Source organism: Homo sapiens, chromosome 1 (assembly GCF_000001405.40).
Source record: "Homo sapiens chromosome 1, GRCh38.p14 Primary Assembly".
NCBI classification, from domain to species: Eukaryota; Metazoa; Chordata; class Mammalia; order Primates; family Hominidae; genus Homo; species Homo sapiens.
In genome coordinates this window covers 54,997,178-54,998,162 of record NC_000001.11, presented here as the reverse complement: position 1 = coordinate 54,998,162, position 985 = coordinate 54,997,178, and the positions used below count along the sequence as shown (strand labels likewise).

Below are 985 nucleotides of genomic sequence, written 5' to 3'. Positions count from 1 at the left end.
TTTCAATGAACTGCTCCCCACCCACCCCTAAGGCTCTCGGAATTAGTGCCCCTGCAGGGTGTGAGTGACTGACAGTCACTTCCTCCATTTCCTTGCAGCCTGATCTAGGAAGATGCCTTCCTAAGAATAACACTAATGAGGCATTTTAGTCCTAGGGACAGGCTGATGGAAGAAATCAGATTCCTTTACAGGATTACAGGAAAATGAGGACCATCGGTCTCTACAAGAGAATGTTCACTTGGCGTTTACATGGGGTTAAATCGCCGATGCAGGATAAAAGGCTTTCAATGGGCTCCCTGACTTGCTGGGCTTGGGGATTTCCTGTTGGCGGTCATCACCTTCTCCCCTCCTGCCAGCAGGGCTGCCCTTGTTCCCTAACCCCACACCTGTGCTCACAGCTGCCCCTCTAACTAGACGTCCTTCTCATAGGCCCTTTTTCCAACAGGGGTTTCTCCTTCCTCACACCCACCATCGCCAGCCCTCAGAGTCCAGGTGCACTTGACAGTTCGCAGAGGAGGTCCTGGAGGGAGCTCAGGGGCCCTGGCTGAGCGATGGCTGAGGGGCAGGAAAGGGCTGAGTTATCAGGTCATGTCCAGGTCTGGTTCTCAGGGTGAGCTCAGGCAGGTGGCTCTGCTCCGGGCTAGAGTTTTGTCAACTGCAGATTGGGGATAGGTATTAGGCCACCTCCCAGGTTTTGTACAGGGAAGGGACATAAGGGGAGTGGGAAAAGGCAAGTACTTTGTAATCTGTGACTATTAACAAAGCAGGACCTTCCACGGAAACATTATTATCATCATCTACTACAGGCTCAGAGAAGGGAAAGGGCGAGTGCCGTGTTACCTAGCCGGTGCCCCTCCCTGGAAAGGAGACGGAGGCCCAGAGGGACCTCAGCCCGTCTGGCCCTGGAGCCCAGGCGGGTGGCGGGAACGGTCTCCGCAGCCGCGGTCCTGCAGGGCCTCGTGGGCCGCCCGGCGCTGAGCAAGGC

The 985-nt window shown here is 55.7% G+C and overlaps 1 annotated feature.

The window, feature by feature from the left end:
- Nucleotides 1-985: an enhancer, noted in NCBI's record as "OCT4-NANOG-H3K27ac-H3K4me1 hESC enhancer chr1:55462851-55463835 (GRCh37/hg19 assembly coordinates)". NCBI's record gives its function as "activates a minimal SCP1, AML or CMV promoter by ChIP-STARR-seq in naive H9 embryonic stem cells {active_cell/tissue: H9 hESC(naive)}" and the evidence as "EXISTENCE:reporter gene assay evidence [ECO:0000049][PMID:30033119]".